This window comes from Homo sapiens, chromosome 20 (assembly GCF_000001405.40).
Source record: "Homo sapiens chromosome 20, GRCh38.p14 Primary Assembly".
NCBI lineage: Eukaryota > Metazoa > Chordata > Mammalia > Primates > Hominidae > Homo > Homo sapiens.
The window spans coordinates 36,999,093-37,013,316 of NC_000020.11; the positions used below are offsets into that span (position 1 = coordinate 36,999,093).

General features: G+C 49.9%; 1 protein-coding gene across 6 annotated transcripts in view, besides 2 other annotated features; it reads right to left on the reverse strand.

Moving 5' to 3' along the window:
- The window catches only part of RBL1 (RB transcriptional corepressor like 1), a 99,649-nt gene that overhangs the window by 2,744 nt on the left and 82,681 nt on the right, over window positions 1-14,224 (reverse strand). For 4 of the 6 annotated variants that reach the window (NM_001323281.2, NM_002895.5, NM_001323282.2 and 1 more), the window contains 2 exons: window positions 8,319-8,467; window positions 4,610-4,774 (listed from right to left, as the gene is read on the reverse strand). In NM_001323281.2, the coding sequence (NP_001310210.1) occupies window positions 4,610-4,774; window positions 8,319-8,467 (314 nt within the window). Of the gene's footprint in view, window positions 1-4,481; window positions 4,775-8,318; window positions 8,468-14,224 lie in introns of those variants that run through there. The other 2 variants (NM_183404.4, XM_047440348.1) reach the window with 2 other exon arrangements.
- Window positions 878-1,805: an enhancer, noted in NCBI's record as "H3K27ac-H3K4me1 hESC enhancer chr20:35628373-35629300 (GRCh37/hg19 assembly coordinates)". NCBI's record gives its function as "activates a minimal SCP1, AML or CMV promoter by ChIP-STARR-seq in primed H9 embryonic stem cells {active_cell/tissue: H9 hESC(primed)}" and the evidence as "EXISTENCE:reporter gene assay evidence [ECO:0000049][PMID:30033119]".
- Window positions 12,680-13,621: an enhancer, noted in NCBI's record as "H3K27ac hESC enhancer chr20:35640175-35641116 (GRCh37/hg19 assembly coordinates)". NCBI's record gives its function as "activates a minimal SCP1, AML or CMV promoter by ChIP-STARR-seq in naive H9 embryonic stem cells {active_cell/tissue: H9 hESC(naive)}" and the evidence as "EXISTENCE:reporter gene assay evidence [ECO:0000049][PMID:30033119]".

The following is a 14,224-nucleotide window of genomic DNA, read 5'->3' on the forward strand; positions in this document are numbered from 1 at the left end:
GAACTAATCTTTTCAGGTGGTTTAAAAATTAGATTTAAGGCCAGGTGTGGTGGCCTGTAATACCAGCACTTTGGGAGGCCAAGATGGTTCAATCACTTGAGCCCAGGAGTTTCAGACCAGCCTGGGCAACATGGCAAACCTGGTCTCTACAAAAAATACAAAAATTAGCCAGGTGTGGTGGCTTGTGCCTGTAGTCTCAGCTACTCGGGAGGTTAAGGAGCATCACCTGAGCCTGGGGAGGTTGAAGCTGCAGTGAGCAGTGATCATGCCTGGGAAACAGAGTGAGACCTTGTCTCAAAAACCAAACCAAGAATAGAAAAATAAGCTTCCCGTCTCCCTCCTCTCCCTCTCCCTCCTCTCCCTCCCTCCTCTCCCTCTCCCTCCTCTCCCTCTCCCTCTCCCCACGGTCTCCCTCTCCCTCTCTTTCCACGGTCTCCCCCTGATGCCGAGCCAAAGCTGGACTGTACTGCTGCCATCTCGGCTCACTGCAACCTCCCTGCCTGATTCTCCTGCCTCAGCCTGCCGAGTGCCTGCGATTGCAGGCACGCGCCGCCACGCCTGACTGGTTTTCGTATTTTTTTGGTGGAGATGGGGTTTCGCTGTGTTGGCCGGGCCGGTCTCCAGCTCCTAACCGCGAGTGATCCGCCAGCCTCGGCCTCCCGAGGTGCCGGGATGGCAGACGGAGTCGCGTTTACTCAGTGCTCAATGGTGCCCAGGCTGGAGTGCAGTGGCGTGATCTCGGCTCGCTACAACCTCCACTTCCCAGCTGCCTGCCTTGGCCCCGCAAAGTGCCGAGATTGCAGACTCTGCCCGGCCGCCACCCCGTCTGGGAAGTGAGGAGCGTCTCTGCCTGGCCGCCCATCGTCTGGGATGTGAGGAGCCTCTCTGCCTGGCTGCCCAGTCTGGAAAGTGAGGAGTGTCTCTGCCCGGCCGCCATCCCATCTAGGAAGTGAGGAGCGTCTCTGCCAGGCCGCCCATCTTCTGCAATGTGGGGAGCGCCTCTGCCCTGCTGCCCCGTCTGGGATGTGAGGAGCGTCTCTGCCCGGCCGCCCCGTCTGAGAAGTGAGGAGACCCTCTGCCTGGCAACCGCCCCGTCTGAGAAGTGAGGAGCCCCTCCGCCCAGCAGCCACACCCTCTGAGAAGTGAGGAGCCCCTCCGCCCGGCAGCCACTCCGTCTGGGAAGTGAGGAGCGTCTTCGCCTGGCAGCCACCCCGTCTGGGAGGGAGGTGGGGGTCAGCCCCCCACCCGGCCAGCCGCCCCGTCCAGAAGGGAGGTGGGGGGGTTAGCCCCCCGCCCGGCCAGCCGCCCCATCCAGGAGGGAGGTGGGGGGGTCATCCCTCTGCCCAGCCAGCTGCCCGTCCGGGAGGGAGGTGGGGGGGGTCAGCCCCCCCGCCCGGCCAGCCGCCCCGTCCGGGAGGTGAGGGGCGCCTCTGCCCGGCCGCCCCTACTGGGAAGTGAGGAGCCCCTCTGCCCGGCCAGCCGCCCCGTCCAGGAAGGATGTGGGGGGGTCAGCCCCGGGCCCGGCCAGCCGCCACATCCGGGAGGTGAGGGGCGCCTCTGCCCGGCCGCCCCTACTGGGAAGAGAGGAGCCCCTCTGCCCGGCCAGCCGCCCCGTCCGGGAGGGAGGCGGGGAGGTCAGCCCCCCGCCCGGCCAGCCGCCCCGTCCAGGAGGGAGGCGGGGGGGTCAGCCCCCCGCCCGGCCAGCCGCCCCGTCCGGGAGGTGAGGGGCGCCTCTGCCTGGCCGCCCCTACTGGGACGTGAGGAGCCCCTCTGCCCGGCCAGCCGCCCCGTCCAGGAGGGAGGTGGGGGGGTCAGCCCCCCGCCCGGCCAGCCGCCCCATCCGGGAGGTGAGGGGCGCCTCTGCCCGGCCGCCCCTACTGGGAAGAGAGGAGCCCCTCTGCCTGGCCAGCCGCCCCATCCGGGAGGGAGGTGGGGGGGGTCAGCCCCCCACCCGGCCAGCCGCCCCATCCGGGAGGGAGGCGGGGAGGTCAGCCCCCCGCCTGGCCAGTCGCCCTGTCCCGGAGGGAGGCGGGGGGGTCAGCCCCCCGCCCGGCCAGCCGCCCCGTCCGGGAGGTGAGGGGCGCCTCTGCCCGGCCGCCCCTGCCCGGCCGCCCCTACTGGGAAGTGAGGAGCCCCTCTGCCCGGCCACCACCCCGTCTGGGAGGTGTACTCAACAGCTCATTGAGAACCGGCCATGATGACAATGGCGGTTTTGTGGAATAGAAAGGGGGGAAAGGTGGGGAAAAGATTGAGAAATCGGATGGTTGCCATGTCTGTGTAGAAAGAGGTAGACATGGGAGACTTTTCATTTTGTTCTGTACTAAGAAAAATTCTTCTGCCTTGGGATCCTGTTGATCTGTGACCTTACCCCCAACCCTGTGCTCTCTGAAACATGTGCTATGTCCACTCAGGGTTGAATGGATTAAGGGTGGTGCAAGATGTGCTTTGTTAAACAGATGCTTGAAGGCAGCATGCTCGTTAAGAGTCATCACCACTCCCTAATCTCAAGTACCCAGGGACACAAACACTGCGGAAGGCTGCAGGGTCCTCTGCCTAGGAAAACCAGAGACCTTTGTTCACTTATCTGCTGACCTTCCCTCCACTATTGTCCTGTGACCCTGCCAAATCCCCCTCTGCGAGAAACACCCAAGAATGATCAATAAAAAAGAAAAAAAATGGAAAAAAAAAAAAAAAGAAAAATAAGCTTCCCATTATGCAAGAGTCCTATGGCCTTTGTGCTTTCCTACCCTGTGAACTAAGAGTCTAAATCTGTGAAAAGATGTCCATGAGGTAGAGTTGAATTAAAATAGCAGGTTGCAGAACAATAAAAAAAAAAAAAAAAAAAAAAAACAAACCAAACCAATCCAAACCAAAACAACTGAATTTACTGTATAACAGTAGCTCTCGATGTGTAGTACCCAGACCAGAAGCAGCAGAAGCATCTAGAATTTTTTATTTTTTGAGACAGTCTCTCTCTGTTGCCCAGGCTGGAGTGCAGGGCATGATCTTGGCTCACTGCAAGCTCTGCCTCCTGGGCTCAAGCTATTCTCCTGCCTCAGCCTCCCTAGCTGGGACTACAGGCACATGCCACCATGCCTGGCTATTTTTTTGTCTTTTTAGTAGAGACAGGGTTTTGCCATGTTGGCCAGGCTGGTCTTGAACTCCTGGCCTCAAGTGTTCCCCCACCTTGGGCTCCCAAAATGCTAGAATTACAGGTGTGAGCCACCGTGCCTAGCCTTATCTGTTTTTTTTTTTTTTTTTTTTTTTTGAGACTAAGTCTTGCTCTTGTCGCCCAGGCTGGAGTGCAATGGCACGATCTCGGCTCACTGCAACCTCTGCCTCCTGGGTTCAAGCGATTCTCCTGCCTCAGCCTCCCAAGTAGCTGGGATTACAGGTGCCCACCACCATGCCCGGCTAATTTTTGTATTTTTAGAGACGGGGTTTCACCATGTTGGCCAGGCTGGTCTTGAACTCCTGATCTCGTGATCTGCCTGCCTCGGCCTCCCAAAGTGCTGGGATTACAGGCATGAGCCACCGTGCCCGGCCCTAATCTGTTTTAACAAGCCCTCCCAATGATTTTAAAGCTCCCTACAGTTTGAGATCTTCTTCCTTAGAGTAATGATTTTCAACATTTTTTTTTTTTGAGACAGAGTCTCGTTCTGTCGCCCAGGCTGGAGTGCAAAGGGGTGATCTCGGCTCACTGCAACCTCCGCCTGCCGGGTTCAAGTGATTCTCCTGCCTCAGCCTCCACAGCAGAGTAGCTGAGATTATAGGTGCGCACCACCATGCCTGGCTAATTTTTTGTATTTTTAGTAAAGACGGGGTTTCACCATGTTGCCCAGGCTGGTCTTGAACTCCTGAGCTCAGGCAATCTGCCCGCCTTGGCCTCCCAAAGTGCTAGGATTACAGGCTTGAGTCACTGTGTCCAGTCAGGTATATTATCTTAGCCAACTTTGTCAAGTATAGTAGGAACTCTGTAGTTATCTGTATAACTGAATAGGAAAGTAATAAGAAGGAGCCACTGTATTTGGACAGAGTTACAATCTGCCCCACTACAATTTCTTCCAGTTTATACTGATTCTGACTTCTGGAGACATACTGAACATATCTGCTTGATAGTCCATGAAGTCTCTGAAAACAGCAATCATGTCCATACCACATCTTCACCACTGAACAAGGATAAGGATGGAGATGATCACAGAGTTGTCTATGTACGTAAGAGGAGGCTTGTGTTTTCAGACATCTTCCTATCCTGGGTGCCATCTACCAAATGCACTTTCACTTCCAATGCCTTTCTTTCAACTTGACATCCCCCAGGTCTGACCACTTGCAGGTGTTGCCTTACTGGTCCCTTCTCAAGATCTTGCTTGAACAGGAAAACATGCTGGACTTTCAAAGTGAACTCCACAAATACCATGTCAATAATAATGGATTAAACTACCTCAAACTGAATATACTGCTCTTGATGAGAGGAGACATGCCATAGTTAACATTTCATATTTTATTAGTATAGTAGTAACTTGGCCAAAAAAGAAAAAAAAAAAAAGAGGCAGGATTAACAGTTACTGACTGTTAATCTGAAATCCAACTTTTAGCCTATTCACCTTACCTTAGAAGGGCTGCCATTGAACTTGTACAGCAGAGCGCTTCTTGGTGTAAGGCCTGACCCATTCTTGTGCGGGGAAATATAAATGGAGTGCTGCTGGGAAATGCGGCGTGGTGAGCCTGGCTGTTGTTTAATATGTGGAAAAGGAGAGAGTGGTGGAGCATCCATCTAAAATAACCCAAAAGTCAGATTTTTTAGATAAAAGTTTTTCTTTGTTTTTGAATCCCATATTTTTATTCTTATGGTATCTTCTAGTTAGAAAACAGTTATACTGTAAAAAGCTCATTTATGGTTGAGAAAAAAAATGATCCTTTACTTCTTCTTTTTTTTTTTTAACAACAATAGATAAACTAGAATTTATTTTCCTGAATCTTTTTTTTTTTTTGAGATGGAGTATCTCTTGCTCTTGTTGCCCAGGCTGGAGTGCGATGGCGCAATCTAGGCTCACTGCAACCTCTGCCTCCCAGGTTCAAGCAATTCTCCTCCCTCAGCCTCCCAAGTAGCTGGGATTACAGGCATGTGCTGGGATTACAGGCATGTGCCACCACGCCCGGTTAATTTTGTATTTTTAATAGAGATGACCATGTTGGCCAGGCTGGTCTCGAACTCCTGACCTCAGGTGATCCACCCACCTTGGCCTCCCAAAGTGCTGGGATTACAGGTGTGAGCCACTATGCCCGGCCTATTTTCCTGGATCTTTCAGGAAGTCCTATAACTAGTATTAAGAATTCTGGCCAGGCACAGTGGCTCACACCTGTAATGCCAGCACTTTGGGAGGCTGAGATGGGCGGATCACCTGAGGTCAGGAGTTTGAGACCAGCCTGGCCAACATGGTGAAACTCCGTCTCCACTAAAAATGCAAAAATTAGCTGGGCGTGGTGGCATATGCCTGTAATCCGAGCTATTTGGGAGGCTGAGGCACTAGAATTGCTTGAACCCAGGAGGCAGAGGTGTTGCAGTGAGCCCAGATTGTGCCACTGCACTCCATCCTGGGTGACAGACCAAGACTCTGCCTCAAAAAAAAAAAAAAAAAAAAAAGAATTCTGGGGCCGGGTGCAGTGGCTCACTCCTATAATCCCAGCACTTTGGGAGGCCAAGGTGCTCGGATCACTTGAGGCCAGGAATTGGAGACCAGCCTGGCCAACATGGTGAAACCCCACTTCAGCCTCCTGAGTAGCTCCTAAAAATATAAAAATTAGCCAGGTGTGGTGGCGTGCGCCTATAGTCCCTGCCACTCGGGAGGCTGAGCATGACAGTTGTTTGAACCCGGGGACAGAGGCTGCAGTGAGCTGCGATTATGTCACTGCACTCCTCCTGGGGTGACAGAGTGAGACTCTGTCTCAAAAGAAAAAAAAAATTCTGGACAAGACACCAGGAGTTAAGCCACGAGCATGAGAACCTCATATTCATGCTTAAAAAGTAAGGACAGGCTGGGCGCGGTGGCTCATGCCTGTAATCCCAACACTTTGGGAGGCTGAGGCGGGTGGATCATGAGGTCAGGAGTTCAAGACCAGCCTGGCCAAGATGGTGAAACTCTGTCTCTACTAAAAATACGAAAATCAGCTGGGCGTGGTGACAGGCGCCTGTAATGCCAGCTACTCAGGAGGCTGAGTTACAGAATTGCCTGAACCCAGGAGGCAGAGGTTGCAGTGAGCTGAGATTGTGCCACTTGCACTCCAGCCTGGGCAACAGAGCGAGACTCCTTCTCAAAAAAAAAAAAAAAAAGTAGGGACAAAGAGTAACCAATCTTCTAACACTTGCTGTAACAAGCTCTCTCTACACACATACCTGCTCACAACCAAAGCAGTAGCAGAGAGAATAAAAGAGGCAGAGAATTCTATTAGCCAGCAGGATGATTCCAACGTGGAAAAAATCTGTTAATGAAATGGGAAAGACTTCATATGGAAATGGAAAAGATTTATAAATAAGTTGGATGAGCAAGGATTTCATTTTTAATATCCTGTATAATGGAAATAAATTAAGATGGTAGAGATATTCCGAGTATAGCACATGACAGAGGGGAAGTGAAACTGAAGCAGGATGAACAGTTATGACCTCTGAGGATAGTCATAGACCATATTCCATGAAAAGAGGAAGAACAGAAATCTACAGAGGCACATAGATACATAGAAACAGCTATTGGCTGTCCGGCTGCAGCTTCTGCTAGGGCCTTCTTTTCTTTTTTTTTTTTCTTTCTTTTTTTTTTTTTTTTTTTGAGGCAGGGTCTTGCTCTGTTGCCCAGACTGGAGTGTGGTGGTGCGATTGTGGCTCATTGCAGCCTTGACCTCCTGGGCCCAAGCGATCCACCTACCTTAGCTTGCTGAGTAGTTGGGACTAAAGGTGTGTACCAGCCACTACACGGCTAGTTTTTAGTTTTTTTTTTTAAGAGACAGGGTCTTCCTGTGTTTCTAGGCTGGTCTCAAATTTCTGGGCTCAAGCAATCCTCCAGGCTTAGCTTCCCAAAGTGCTGGGATTACAGGCATGAGCCACAGCACCTGACCTCCTTTTGTTTTTTTTTTGAGACAGAGTTTCCCTCTTGTCACCCAGGCTGGAGTGCAGTGGCGCGATCTCTGCTCACTGCAACCTCCGCTTTCTGGGTTCAAGTGATTCTCCTGCCTCAGCCTCCCGAGTAGCTGGGATTACAGGTGCCTGCCACCACGCCCAGCTAATTTTTGGTAGAGATGGGATTTCACCATGTTGGCCAGGCTGGTCTCAAACTCCTGACCTCTGGTGATCCGCCCGCCTAGGCCTCCCAAAGTGCTGAGATTACAGGCATGAGCCACCACACCTGGCCCCTTTTGTCTTTGACTTGAGAAAAACATTAATCTCACAATATAACAACAGAAAAATTTACCAAATTTGCTGGGTGCAGTGGCTCATGCCTGTAATCCCAGCACTCTGGGAGGCCGAGGTGGGCGGATCACAAGGTCAGGAGTTCAAGACCAGCCTGGCCAACATGGTGAAACCCTGTCTCTACTAAAGATACAAAAAATTAGCCAGGTGTGGTGACACACTCCTGTAATCCTAGCTACTAGGGAGGCTGAGGCAGGAGAATCACTTGAGCCCGGGAGGCAGAGGTTGCAGTTGAGCTGAGATCGCACCACTGCACGCCAGCCTGGGTGACAGGGTGAGACTGTCTCAAAAAAAAAAAAAAAAAGAAAACAAAAAAAACAAATTAGTTGTTTTAATATTCATGTTCCCATCAAGTTCTTACCCATATGTATACGGAATTTCTAGCAACATAATCATGGTATAGATAAAATTCATGCCAGGCGTGGTGGTTCACACCTGTGATCCCATCACTTTAGGAGGCTGAGGTGGGTAGATTGCTTGAGTCCAGGAGTTCAAGACCAGCCTGGCCAACATGGTGAAACCCCGTATCTACTAAAAATACAAAAAAATTAGCTAGGCGTGGGGGCATGTGGCTGTCGTACCAGCTATTTGGGAGGCTGGGGTGGGAGGATCGCTTGAGGCCTGGAAGCAAGGGTTGCAGTGAGCCCAGATCTCGCCACTGCACTCTAGCCTGGGCAACAGATCCCATGATTTCCTCTGGTCTCTGTTGTACCATAGCCTTAATCACTGATTAAGTTACTGGACATGCTCTGATTAATTGCTAGTAATTTTACTTGGACATATTTATCTAGCAAAATAAACTTATAGTAATCCAACTATGACAGCAAATAATAATAAAGTAGTAAAACATAGAACATACCATATGGTCCTGATTCGCCAAGTCGTATTTCAGTGCAAATGACTTCACTCTTCCTACATATATTGTATTGTAAAATTTTATAAGATCACCTCTTTCCTCTTTCACTGGTCCACTGGAACAGTCAGGTGTTTTTGTAGCATCTTCTAAGTCTGTTAAAAAGAATGCAATGTTGTGATACAAAGCATACTTTTTATTTTTTTGAGACAGGGTCTCACTTTGTCACCCAGGGTGGAGTGCAGTGGTGCAATCTTGGCTCACTGCAGCCCTGACCTCCTGGATTCAAGTGATCCTCCCATCTCAGCCTCCTGAGTAGCTGGGACCACAGGCACGTGCCACCATGCCTGGCTATTTTTTATTTTTAGTAGAGACGGGGTTTTGCCATGTTGCCCAGGATGGTTTCCAACTCCTGGGCTCAAGTGATCCACCAGCCTCAGCCTCTCAAAGTGCTGGGATTACAGGCATGAGCCACCATGCCCAGCCACAAAGCATACTTTAATATACAAGTTGGTGATTTAAATGACCTTTCTACAATATTAAAAAAAACCCACAAATCTTTATGTAGAGAAATTAATATTTTCAGAGAAGGTTCAGCAATCCATCTGTATTACTTATAAGTCAAATTGGAATCTAGAGAAATGCAAACATATGAACTGAAGGTGGTGCTCTTTTCTCTAGATTCCACTTCAGAATGTTTTCACAACCATAGCTGTTGAGCTCACTGTCACTAGTGGCTCTTAGAGGGGTAACAGCCCTGGGCTGGTGTTTAGCTAAGTTCTACAGTATGGGAGGCAGTGGCAAACCTCAGCTTCAGACAACTAAAAGGCCTGCAGATATTCTTCTTGTGTCTTTGAGAAAGGTGGAAAGATTCTAAAAGGTAAAGCATATCCTGAGAGGTTAAGGAAGAAGCAAAATGAATTACATTTATTTCTCTGCAAATACATGGCAGGTGACAGGTGTTCTAAGAGCCTTATTGTACCACATACAACAGGAACCCTGATCAGGAACCAGTGTTCAGGTTTTACTGAGCACCCTCAATTGTAAAATAACAGCTTACCCCAACATAGTTTCCTACTTAATGGTGCAACTCTGGGATAGCTTGTGAAACCAGGCAGAACTTTGTCCTACTATTTTTTGGGGAAGGAAGAGTATTACAGGGTATTACAAACTATCATTTACTTGTATACACAAGAACCATGTGCTAAGAAAACCACTACCAATTAAAAAGAATTTAGCACATATATGAAAAAAGCTCTCATTCTCAATACACTGGCCTACAAACATTGAGAACATGGGTAGAAGCAATGCCTTCACCTTAGGAAAACCAGAAAACACAAACATGGTTCAAAAACCAAACAGCCCCAGGGGATGTCAGTCTTAATTTGGATGTCTTTTTCACTTCTGCTATTTCTAAAGGATCTTGACGAGGGTGGGAGGGGAGGGGAGCTATGTGGTTAAATAAAGTTGAGGAAATGCTGTATATTATATTGGAAATTCAGAAATTCATGTTAGTATAAGGCTCTGAGAAGTACTGCAGTTGGGGAAAAAAAATAACTCTCATGTTCACTTTAATTCCATACTTCCCCAGTTTTTTGTGTATAGTCTCTCTTCCCCCAAAACACTTTTTTTTTTTTTGAGACGGAGTCTTGCTCTGTCACCCAGCCTGGAGTGCAGTGGTGCAATCTCGGCTCACTGCAGTCTCTGCCCGCTGGGATCCAGCGACTCTCCTGCCTCAGCCTCCTGGGTAGCTGGGATTACAGAAGCATGCCACCACGTCTGGCTAATTTTTGTATTTTCAGTAGAGATGGTGTTTCGCCAGCTGGAAAGGCTGGTCTCGAACTCCTGACCTCAGGTGATCTGCCCGCCTTGGCCTCCCAAAGTGCTGGGATTACAGGCGTGAGCCACTGCGCCTGGACCCCCCAAAACACTTATACTACCATTCTGGGAAACACTGTTTCAAAGGATACTGGCTTGTTAACAGCTCTTCTAGGTTATTCTCATTATATGGATCAATTAAAATTATTTTTTTGTTTTGTTTTTATGAAAGGTTCTTGATCCTCTTGCCTCAGTCTCCCGAGTAGCTGGGACTACAGGTGCACGCTGCCACACCGAGCTAATTTTTTTTTACTTTTTGTAGAGACAGGGTCTCCCTATGTTTTCTAGGCTGGTCTCTAACTCCTGGGCTCAAGTGATCCTCCCACCTTGGCCTCTCAAAGTGCTGGGATTACAGACATGAGCGAACACGCCTGGTCTAAAATTATTTAATGTCCTCCTTAGATTAGAAATTTCTTGAGACAGAGACTATAGTGTCTCTATATTTCTGTGTCATTCCAATTCCAGCTGTTAATACTAACATAAGGTAAGGAGCTATACTTTACTTGAATGAACCAAACATTTAAAATTGTGGGAGGCTGGGTGTGGTGAAACCCTGTCTCTATAAAAATTTTTTTAAAAATTAAAGAAATTTAAAAACTAGGTGTGGTGGCATGCACCTTTAGCCCTAGCTACTTGGGAGGCTGAGATGACAGGATCGCTTGAACCCAGGAAATCAAGGTTGCAGTGAGCTATGATTGCCCCATTACATTCCAGCCTGGGCAACAGAGCAAGATCTCATCTCTAAAATTAAAAAAAAACTGAAGAAAAAAAAGACATTTAAAAAAACATACTTGGCCGGGTATGGTGGCTCATGCCTGTAATTCCAGCACTTTGGGAGGCTGAGGTGGGAGGATCACTTGAGCCCAAGAGTTCAAGACCAGTCTGGGCAACACAGTGAGACCCCATCTCGGTCTCCCAAAGTGCTGGGATTACAGGTGTGAGCCACCATGTCCGGCCAGAAATGGGTTTTTACTGATGAAAATAGTGAATGTTTATTAAGTGTGACTAATGCTAAAAAAGCCATACTCATTAATACAATAAATTTGATATTGCTTATAAATAATAGCTATTACTAAGGCCTTACTATGAACAAGCCCTGTATTAAATATTATATATATGCATATATGTATACATAGTTGTGTATTGCATAATGATGGGTTATCTTCTCAGAAATGCATTGTTGAAATGATTTTGTCATGAGAATACTATAGAATATACTTACACAAACCTAGATTGTATGGCCAACTACACACCTAGGCTGGATGGTATAGTATATTGCTCCTAAGGTACAAACCTGTACAGCATGTTACTGTATTGAATACCACAGGCAATTGTATCACAATGGCAAGTATTTGTGCATCTAAATATATCTAAACATAGAAAAGGTACAGTAAAAATACAGCACTATAATCTTATAGGACCACTGTTGTATGTGTGGACCATCACGGACTCAAACATCATTATATGGCACATGACTATGTGTGTGTGTGTGTGTGTGTGTGTGTGTCCACACATACATACATATACATATAATTATCTTTTTTATTTTTAGAGACAAGATCTTGCTCTATCACCCAGGCTGAAGTGCAGTGGTGCAATCATAGTGCACTCCAATCTCAAATTCCTGGATTCAAGTGATCTTCCTGCCTCAGCCTCCCAAGTAGTTGGGACTACAGGTGTGAGCCACCATGCCCAGCTAATTTTTTATTTTCATTTTTTGCAGACAGGGGTCTTGCTGTGTTGCTCATGCTGGTCTTTAATTTCCGGGCTCAAGGGATCCTCCTGCCTCAGCCTTCCAAAGTGCTGGGATTACAGGCATGAGCCACAACACTCAGCCTAAATATAATTCTTTTTAATCCTTAAAACAAGTTTCTAAGGAAGCAATGTAAAGTTTTCAATTAACTACAATACACTTGAGTACAGTGTTATGTTTGTGTTACTTAGGTTAAGCTATAACCTGGGTCTCACAAGTATTCTAATCAAGACTGCCACTCTGGAGCAGTCTGCTAACATGACATTGAAGAATTCACAGCCCATGAGGAGTGAGCTGGTGTTTTAATCAGGAAATTCATTCTCCACTCCAACAGTTTCTGCTAGGCATATCTCAGTCAATGACCAATGCTTTGCTCATTAACATACTCAAGGTCAGAATTTTTTTTTTTTTTTTTTTGAGAAAGAGTCTTGCTCTGTTGCCTAGGCTGGAGTGCAGTGGCACAATCTCAGCTCACTGCAACCTCAGCCCCCAGGGTTCAAGCAATTCTCTTGCCTCAGCCTCCGAAGTGGCAGGGATTACAAGTGCTTACCACCATGCCTGGCTAATTTTTGTATTTTTAGTAAAGATGGGGTTTCACCATGTCGGCAAGACTGGTCTCAAACTCCTGACCTCAAGTGATCTGCCCGCCTCGGTCTCCCAAAGTGCTGGGATTACAGGTGTGAGCCACCATGTACAGCCAGAAATGGGTTTTTACTGATGAAAATAATGAATGTTTATTAAGTGTGACTAATGCTAAAAATGAGCTCATGTTCAGGAAATCAAAAGTATTTAAGATAAGCAGATTGGTTAAAATATTTGACTCCCTCTCCCACTCCCTCTCCCCACGGTCTCCCTCTCCCTCTCTTTCCACGGTCTCCCTCTGATGCCGAGCCGAAGCTGGACTGTACTGCTGCCATCTCGGCTCACTGCAACCTCCCTGCCTCAGCCTGCCCAGTGCCTGCGATTGCAGGCGCGCGCTGTCACGCCTGACTGGTTTTCGTATTTTTTTGGTGGAGACGGGGTTTCGCTGTGTTGGCTGGGCCGGTCTCCAGCTCCTAACCGCGAGTGATCCGCCAGCCTCGGCCTGCCGAGGTGCCGGGATTGCAGACGGAGTCTGGTTCACTCAGTGCTCAATGGTGCCCAGGCTGGAGTGCAGTGGCGTGATCTCGGCTCGCTACAACCTCCACCTCCCAGCCGCCTGGCCTTGGCCTCCCAAAGTGCCGAGATTGCAGCCTCTGCCCGGCCGCCACCCCGTCTGGGAAGTGAGGAGCGTCTCTGCCTGGCCGCCCATCGTCTGGGATGTGAGGAGCCCCTCTGCCTGGCTGCCCAGTCTGGAAAATGAGGAGCATCTCTGCCCGGCCGCCATCCCATCTAGGAAGTGAGGAGCGCCTCTTCCCGGCCGCCATCCCATCTACGAAGTGAGGAGCGTCTCTGCCCGGCCGCCCATCGTCTGAGATGTGGGGAGCGCCTCTGCCCCGCCGCCCCGTCTGGGATGTGAGGAGCGCCTCTACCCGGCCGCGACCCCGTCTGGGAGGTGAGGAGCGTCTCTGCCCAGCCGCCCCGTCTGAGAAGTGAGGAGCCCCTCCGCCCAGCAGCCACCCCGTCTGGGAAGTGAGGAGCGTCTCCGCCCGGCAGCCACCCCGTCCGGGAGGGAGGTGGGGGTCAACCCCCGCCAGGCCAGCCGCCCCGTCCGGGAGGGAGGTGGGGGGGTCAGCCCCCCGCCTGGCCAGCCACCCAGTCCGGGAGGGAGGTGGGGGGGTCAGCCCCCTGCCCGGCCAGCCACCCCGTCAGGGAGGTGAGGGGCGCCTCTGCCTGGCCGCCCCTACTGGGAAGTGAGGAGCCCCTCTGCCCGGCCAGCCGCCCCGTCCGGGAGGGAGGTGGGGGGTTCAGCCCCCCCGCCAGCCAGCCGCCCCGTCCGGGAGGGAGGTGGGGGGGTCAGCCCCCCGCCCGGCCAGTCACCCCGTTGGGGAGGTGAGGGGCGCCTCTGCCCTGCTGCCCCTACCGGGAAGTGAGGAGCCCCTCTGCCCGGCCACCACCCCGTCTGGGAGGTGTACCCAACAGCTCATTGAGAACAGGCCATGATGAGAATGGCGGTTTTGTGGAATAGAAAGGGGGGAAAGGTGGGGAAAAGATTTGAGAAATCGGATGGTTGCCGTGTCTGTGTAGAAAGAGGTAGACATGGGAGACTTCTCATTTTGTTCTGTACTAAGAAAAATTATTCTGCCTTGGGATCCTGTTGATCTGTGACCTTACCCCCAACCCTGTGCTCTCTGAAACATGT